This window comes from Homo sapiens, chromosome 2 (genome assembly GCF_000001405.40).
Source record: "Homo sapiens chromosome 2, GRCh38.p14 Primary Assembly".
Lineage (NCBI taxonomy): Eukaryota > Metazoa > Chordata > Mammalia > Primates > Hominidae > Homo > Homo sapiens.
The window spans coordinates 54,655,231-54,664,074 of record NC_000002.12 but is presented as its reverse complement, the minus strand read 5'-3'; the positions used below and the strand labels follow the sequence as shown (position 1 = coordinate 54,664,074).

At 42.9% G+C, this 8,844-nt stretch overlaps 1 protein-coding gene across 13 annotated transcripts in view; it reads right to left on the bottom strand.

Annotated features, from left to right (window-relative positions):
• Positions 1-8,844, bottom strand: part of SPTBN1 (spectrin beta, non-erythrocytic 1) — a 215,120-nt gene that overhangs the window by 7,372 nt on the left and 198,904 nt on the right. For 12 of the 13 annotated variants that reach the window (NM_003128.3, XM_017004781.2, XM_017004779.2 and 9 more), the window contains 4 exons: positions 8,077-8,161; positions 6,029-6,225; positions 4,809-4,921; positions 4,076-4,139 (listed from right to left, as the gene is read on the bottom strand). In NM_003128.3, the coding sequence (NP_003119.2) occupies positions 4,076-4,139; positions 4,809-4,921; positions 6,029-6,225; positions 8,077-8,161 (459 nt within the window). Of the gene's footprint in view, positions 1-1,766; positions 4,140-4,808; positions 4,922-6,028; positions 6,226-8,076; positions 8,162-8,844 lie in introns of those variants that run through there. The other variant, NM_178313.3, reaches the window with a different exon arrangement.

The window sequence follows — 8,844 nt, the reverse complement described above, 5'->3', positions numbered from 1 at the left end:
ACCAAGGATGCCACCAGAAGGGCTGGAAGTTTAAGCGAAAGGGCATTCACAAACAGACCGATAGACAACTCTATCAGAGCTACATGGCATTCCCCCAGAGTAAGACAAGGAAAGACCTCGGTTCCTGAAAATGCTCTCTGGCTCTCCTCCCCCTCCCCTCAACACATTGTCATAAACACATGCAGAAATTAGGACGACAATCATGCATTTCACATCTACCATCCCAGTTAGACTTTGGAACTTAAGAGCTGGAAGGAAATGAGGCAAGTCAACAAACATCAATTTGACCACATCTGCCGAAGTTGTATCGTGAGTGGGTTGTAGTTTGTGTTAAAGGAGCTGGAAAAGCCAATCACAGTCACTCAACACCACACAGCTATTTACCCCCAAACAAAGACAGAACCAGGGCCTTCCCCATCACGGGTTGGTTGATCACGGTGCCTTGCTGCACTGAGACGAGAAAGCCCAGAGACAGCCAGGCTTCCAGCGGCTCTGACCCTTCAGGCTGGAGACGTCTTCGGGAGCGTTCCTTCCCAAGCTCATTTAAATTGTAACCCTCATGGCTTTTCGGCTTTGGAAATGTAGTAGGGTCTTGATTCATTATCATTTTCAGCCTGTGTACCATCAACTGTGTACCATTAACTGTAGCAGCCCCTGGCTGATACACCCAGGGTGTGCGATTAGCGAGTTACTAAAGCTGGGTGTGGCTGACACTTTAGTGGATTACAGACAACCTGCACCCCTCGTACACAGACAAACATGGAGAAGTCAATGGCACGCTCATTAGATACGTCGCCCACCACTGCTGCCCAAGACCAAAGTGACACCAAATTAGCAGTAACAACCTTGACAAGATAAACGGTAGACTGGCCACCACCATGTGAACACCTGGATCTGTAAACTCTTGGGAACTGTATCTCTCACTTATTAGGTCTTATCTTAATGGCTGGGCCCAATGCTTGATTTTGAACAAAACTAATTTTGGGGGGAAAAAGGGCTACAAAAAGCTCTGGAAGGAGGGAGAATCACAAGTTTAAGTTATGTCTATGCAAACTATCATAATTAGCATCAGGGCTGAGGGAAGACTAGAAACTATGCAGTTTAATGGTGGTTTTGATTGGAACCCTTTACCCTCATGGCAATGTGGAAAATGGATTATTAGGAAAAAAGACTTGTGGGGGTGTGTGTGCGCACAAGTGCTGCATGGTGATCACCAAGGCCTTGCAAGTGACAGACTGCAGACACGTGCTTATGAGCAACAGACTACTTAAACCATTCTCTCTCTTTTCACTTTTAAAGGAGAGTTGCAGGAGGGGAAATAGACAAAAAACAAAACCCTGAGTCAAAATAATGTGAGTGGACTTTAAAGGTGACAAATCTTCTCTAGTGTGAGATTCGGAAACTTCTGGTGAGGAGGAAGTATGAGTTTGGTCTGGAAGGCCTGAGCCAGGTGTGAGTCCAGAGAGACATGGGGTTAGTATGTAGAGAAACCAGGATAAAAAAAAATTTAGTGCTGCAGGTTTGACTTGAAAGCTGCTAGTGACAGCAATGACCTGGGTAGAGAGATGTTTCCTTGAAAACGGCTAAAATTTATCATACTTGGTCAGACTGCAAGGTAGATGAAGGCCAGGGAAGCCTCTTCTGAGGATAATTCTGCAGCAAAAATTTTTTCTTTAGAGTTAGAAGGAAAGAGAAAACCCCAAACCAGTATGCAGAGATCATTAATGTTTATGCAAATGAATCACTAACCAAGAAAACAAGGAAAATAAAAGGAACAAAATGAATTTTAATGGACATGTGCTTTAAGCATGCCAACAGACAGCACACCACTAGAGACACACATCAAAAGCAATCACAGTGCTATGATCAAATGATGGGTACATGTGAACACATCCCTCGCAACCCCACCCCCCACGTTGCTTCTCTTTAGCGATTAGTCCAGAGTGCTTTAGTGGCTGGGCACACCCGAGATACTTAAATCAGGAGGTGAACATGAATGCAACGTGACAACTAGTAGCACAGAAAACACCTGATTGGTATTCAAAGTGCACGAAGCAATGCTATTTTCAAGTTCACTGAGTCTCTGCGTCATCACTCAAAACAATAAAAATACTTTTTCTTCTCATACAAGCCAATTGTAATTAAAATTTTGTTATGACAAGCTACATTTAAAAATCTAGATAAAAATAGGCATGATAGCAAATGCTAAGAACATCATAGCACTCTTTTCTTGTGTGCTTATGTGGTTCCTTTTTTGGAGGGTCTTCTAGATACAAAAAGTGTCAAATTGGGTGTCAGTCCTGATGATACAAAATTTAAACACACACACATATATATATGAAAACATCACATATATACATATAGATCAATGAAACACAAAATGTAACTTGGAGCCACAAACACACATTAGAGCTCCCTAATGACCAAAGACAAAGCAGAAGTTTTTTTGTCTAAAATGAATTTTGATGTGTTTTAAGGCAGAGACCCAATAATGATGCATACTACCCCCAGAACATAAGAAGCTTGGCATCTATCTATATACCCATCTACAGTCAGAAGTAGATAGATATGTACATAGAGATAAGGAAAAACAAACAAGATGCTATATGACGTTATCCTGACAAAAGAAAAAAAAGACATGCATCATGAAATAAAAAGACAAATCAGACTTAACTCATAGAGAACACATATCAAAACAGGTTTCTGATTCCACTGACACATCTAAATATGGCAAAAGAGCAAGTGAATGTCTCACAAGGTTTTGATGTATAATATGGATTTGGTTTTGTTTTTATCGGTACAAGGAAACCATCTCTGTCACCAGCTTTTATTTCTAAGGAAAAGGATTTTTGTGAAAACATTTTCAATTCCTGCTGGTGGCCTGATAGATACCATCCTAAAAGCTTCCTTTATCAGAGAATTCCACAAAAAGTCTTGAGAAAATGAACAATGAATCAGAAGATTAATCCAAGATGTACAGTGGAGTTTGTCTACAGAGACACTGACATGACTTCTGAAGCCAGGGGGCATGCGAGCGCTCCCAGGCACGGTCCACCAAGTGCAACGTTCAAGTAATCAGGATGAACCACAATGGCTTCTGTTCCATTTGTTTGAAAAATTAAAACAGTTTGACACCCTGAAGTCATCGGCTGAATGGAGAGGCATGGAAGTCTGTGAGGCAAGCTTCTAAAACATGCTGAGAACGGCTGTCACCTGCCGCGTCCCACGTGCCAGCAGCACTGACAGGGAGCGAGACAGAGGTGGCGGCAGCAGTCAGCGGGCACTTTACTCCTGAGGCTGGCTGCAACATCTGTGCAAGGAAGCCTACAGTTTTCAATTCAGGACTTGGCAGAAAAAAAGAGAGGAACTAGTTTGTAAAAAGTAATAAATGACCCAAGGGTCTCAAAATGTATGAGATTGTGTGCCTAAAATTAAAATAGCTTCCAGAATATATCTGACTCCCTTTTTTGTCATCTTCAATAAATGAATGCATCTTTCATGGAATGTTACACAGCTGACTTTAGGTTTTAATCTTATTACAGAATGTCTCCCTCCTCATACACCAGTCTTCCTAGTTAATAGTAAACTACTATAGGTTAATAACATCTGTAAAGGCGGCTACATATAGCACAGTACTGTGCCCTGTTAGAATAACTGAATGTGTCATACCTGTTAGATTCTAGTTTTCTTCTTCATTATGCTGTAATCTCATTTAATTTCATTTCAATTACTCATGTAAGGGTTTCGCTGTAAAATCTTAATAAAGTAAAAAGCTCACAATAAATAAACAAAAAATAAGTATGCTGCTTTAAGGCAAGTGGGCATCCATCAGTTAAGAGACTCAAACATGAATTAAATGCAAACAAATATGAAACCAAGGAAGGCTATGAATTAAGTAAAAATTTTAACATTTTGGGTGAAGTGGAAGCCAAAAAGTCAAAACCCAGAGGATTTGGAAAGGGTGATTCTTGACAAATGGTAGTGAACTTCACAGTCCAGACCATGGCTGGTCACTGGCTGTCCGTCTGCTATTAAAGTTTTTGTAGTTTTGGTAGGTTTGAGAGCGGTAACTAACCCGTGGAGATCCCTGTTCAGCTGGCAAACCGTTTTGGGAAACTTGTTCTCCTTTTGAAGTATCCCTGTTAGGGAAGAGGGGAAAAGGAGGAAGGGAAAGGAAGAAGAGGAGAAAGAGGAAACAGTAAGAAAGGGTGGGAGAACATCATCACTCAATTTTATTACGTGCAACCTTTTCACATAATTTAATTCTTTTTAAATCTGAAACTTCCAAGTGTTTTAAATAGACTCTAGACAGAAAAATACGACTACAGGAATGCCCTATGCCCCGCTCCACCACATAAAGGCAGCATTAGAGGTTGCCATGGAACTCTTACCATAGCAAAATAATTAGCCCTTTGGAAGTAGAGAATAATTGCTGCCCTCTGTGTGAAGTTACTTAGAACTCTCAAAAAACGCATCACCACAAAATCACTGGCCTAAAATCTGGGCAGTTCACTCCATGCATTTAATCATATGGAAGTTCTGAGCATCCTGTGTGTGTGCACACAGGATGAGAAAGGGCACTGTCTACATTCTACTTCTGCCACCTACATACCTATGTGACTGTGGACAAATCAGTGCCCTCCAAGGTTATTTAGGGATAACTGTACAGCCTTTAAACAGTCTATGGAAGCAATCAGTAGGCAGGGCATGTGGTTAGGCCTAGCAATGCAAGGCTTCAGAAAGATGCCCCATAAACCTCATTGGCCACCGAGGCTAAGGGTCCAGCCTCTGGAGCTGCTGGGACTCACCACTGCTGCTGGGACTCGGCTTCCTCTGAAACCTTCGTGCTCGGCTCGGGAGAAGGCGGCCGCCTCTTCCTCTCCTCTTCCTCTTGCTGTCTGCGCACTTCCAGTAACTCCAACTAAGAGAAAATAGAGTGATGTTTGGTAGAGTCCCAAACTCTGCCTCTTTTCAGAAAAAGGTTCTAGGAACCCAGGAAGTCCTCCTGTCTAGTTTGCTAAACTGGACCACACTGGACAAGAAGCTCTAACATCCTGAGCCAAATGGAATTAGGTTCACAGGAACTGCAGCTACAACCTAAAACTACAGGAAATAGTCTATTCCATGGGCTGGCAAAATTCCTGTGAGTTGTTTGTAGGACCCCTGGGAGCTTGGGTTTAATTTCTAAAGTAACTATGCAACTCTCAACTCTGCTGAGGAGAAAAGTACCTGAGCCTGAGGGTTCATGCTGGACTCCCCAGGAGAGCTCAGACAAACACCAGGGACAGAGCTGCAATAATTCTCAAGGAAGCCGCTTGTGCTGTGGTGGGGATCTGTGTTCAGCCAAAACCCAAACAACACATTAAAAAGCCACAGAATAGTCTAACTGAAACAAAGCCATTTCATGAGTCATATGGATGTACCAGAAGTACTCTGTTTTAACACAAATGTATGCAGGTACATTTTAAACACCCAGAACTGGAAACCAGAAACACCATTTTTGTACACTGCAAAGGATCAGCTTTCTACCAGGAATGCAAAAGTCTTGGGAGAGGAAACACCAGTGCACAAATCCTATTCTAAGGCCTTTATGTTGACAGAAGAGGGGATCAGGACTGGGGACTTAACAACAGGCTAGGATTAAGCTTCCATTTGATGGGAATTCTAATTCTGAAATTCTGAAGAAAATTTTGAGGCCATGCCCCCTTGAGAACAAAGCTTTTATGAGATAGGGGAGAATGAAAGATTCGAAGAAAAAAGCAAACACCACCAATCAACCCCCAGGCAGGAAGCTACTATAAGGGATCATAAATCCAGGTGCCCAGGATGTGACTGAGGAGGTAACAGTCCTGACCCTCTCCCTAGGTCCTGCTCCACAGGAGCCACCCATTTTAAGATGATCTTCACTACTTGAAAAAAACCCAAAAAACAAAAACAAGCAATCGTGTGAATTCCCTGGTCTAAGAGGCAAGCAGGAAGAAAAGGCTGCCCAGGGCACCAACAGACAAAGGGCCCAGCGGCCACTTACTGTAGTCAGCCTTTCCAGGGCAGAGAACCTCTCATCCCAGGTTGCTGCAGACTTTTCAAATGCCTCGTGGCGCTTGATGAGCTTCTCCACCTCGTCCACGCTCTGGCCTATCTCTCGGCTGGATAGGTACGGCTCCTGTCCAAGCAGCCAGGCCTCGGCCACACTGGCGTCTCTTGAGAACTGATGGACCTCCAGAACTGCACAGGGTACCATGAGTTAGTACACGTTGACCAGGAGGTGCCGGGCAGTCATATGGCCTTACCTCTTGGCACTGCTGCCCTCTGGTGATGGCTACCTGCATAACCAGTCTATCGTCTACTCTAAATTAGCCCTGTCCAATGTAAATGTAATGTGAGCCACACTTGCAACTTTGACTTTTCCAGTAGCCACATTAAAAAGAGTAAAAATAAATAGGTGAAATTAACTTTAATAGTGTATTTCACATAATATGTATAAAATTATTACAACATGTAATCAATATGAAAAAAACTATTGAGATCTGTTACAATCTTTTTTCTTCTAAATCTAAATCTGATGTGCATTTTACGGCACACATTCACTGCCCATCTCAATTTGAGACATTTCAAGTTCTCAAGAGCCACACGTGGGAAAGCAGCTATCATACTGCTCAGCGCAGGTCTACAGTGAACGCTCTGTTCACTCGGCCCCACTTCATGAGCTAAGCCTTCAGAGACCTGCAGGAATTCACAATCTACACGTAGCCAGATGGGCAGGCATTCTTAACTCGCCCTCTTTTGGGCGGTAGTTGTGTGTTTTATTTTGGGGGGTTTAGAGGGAGGGAAGGATATGGGAACACTACAGATGGTGGGGACCAAGGCTTTTGCTCTGTTTCATTCTGTTCTTCCACCTGTGAGGAAATGGAACACTAGTTCCAACATAGTTATGAGAAGGTAGGTTAGAACCAGGCTTTCTGCTATAGTTAACACTGATTTTCACTTCATTTCATGCAGCAAAGCCTGGGATCATTGAGGTAAAAAATGGACTGTGGGCAGCGTTGGTGTCCCAAGGAGCTGGCTAGCTATCTGCTTTCAGCACCTCGGTAGCCCCCAACATGACTACATGAAGAAGATGCCACCTCTGCACTAGGGACTTACTGGCTTTTCAAGGCAGGGACTGTGCATATCACTGTGTCCCTGGTGTACAAGCTGGTGCCCGGTTCAGTGTGTAATGTGGGTTTTGCTGAGCTGAATGAAACTGCCCCACAATTCTCAAAACATACAGACCAAATCCTCCTGCAAAGAATGGTCAAAAAGTGGGATTTCTGAGGGCTCTGGGCCCAACAGAGTGTGCCGTCAAACCTCTCAGAAAAGGCCCTTGCATTTGGTTTCTAGTAAACCCCCATAACATGCATAGATGGAGTTAGAACATAAGGACAGAGCCCAGAACTCCAACAGAGAATGGCAAAGCATGGTAAGCAATGCTAGAATTGCGCTGTTAGTGCTCATACCAATTATGAAATGCTATTCCTAATACTGTACATTATAAACCCTGTATTAGCTCACATATTCCCTTATAAAATGAGAATTAAAAATAGAATCTAATTCACAGGGTCACTTTGGGGAATAAACACAGAAATACATTAAAAAACCACTTAGAACAATGCCTCATTCACAGCAAAATTTTAATAGATGTTAGTTTTTATTATGTTATCAACATTCCACTAAGAGCACCAAATATGACTTAATGAGATCAACTTTCCAACTTGATTCTGTAGTAAGAATTCTTGAAGACAAATGGGGGAGAGGGCTTCTATCTGTATTCTCCCAGGGAGGTGCCCTCTGTCATCCCTAAAGAACATCCAAATCCCACCTATGACACTGAGATCAATCAAGAGGTGAAAAATGACTACGCCATAGGAAGCTTCTTAAAAGTAGTATTTACCATGAAATGGTGAAACGGGGCACTAAAAAGGCATCTACAACTCGAACAATCTTTAAATGATAACATTAATGAATTAAAGCAAGAAAATAAACGTGCATGTTTTCCATTGATACCCAAAAGAGCAGAAAGATAAACTACATCCTTACTCAGTCTTAACCATTCCCATCGGTCTTCCCACTTGTCGATCATTTCTTTCCTCTTTTCCGTCAACTGCAGTAATTTTTCCTTGATCTGTATGAAAAAGAGGATCCCCGGGACATCTTAATGGAATGCACCACATCCTCTTGATGGGGTCATTTTATACTAGAAAAATACATTTTCTGCAAAGACCACCATTAAGCTGGGAGATATCTAAGGACTGCTCAGTCTGTCTGAGGACTGGGAGAGGAAAGAAAAGCATAGCACTGCTCCTTCCAGAAGGGGCTGGAGGAAGGCGCGGAAGCCCTGCCAAAGCTGTTTTGTCGTGAGGAGGCTCCCTGCGGCAAACACGTTCAGGAGAGGGACAGCAAGACGGACAAAGCCCTGACCTCTTGGAGAGGATGCCCATTCCCATGCAGGGGGCCACACACGCACCTAATAATTTACCTCTTTATTACCACCATCCTAACCAGAATCACCAACCATGCACTCAACAGCAAACTGATCTAGGGCATAGTCAATGGACATTGGCGTCACCTAGAAAGAGTACTGATTGGGGAGGATGCGGAGTCCATTTTGTAGCCCTCAAAAATTGTCTTCTGTGCCAGAGATTTACCAGCCTGGGCCTAGAGTCTTGCATAATTGCATTATTCTAGACGCACAGGAAAGGAGTTTTAAAACATATGTGTGTGTGTATAAGAATGTAAACACAGTATCTCTGACACACACAAACATATAAAACAAAGTCATTTTACATCTTGACGCCAGCTGCAGCT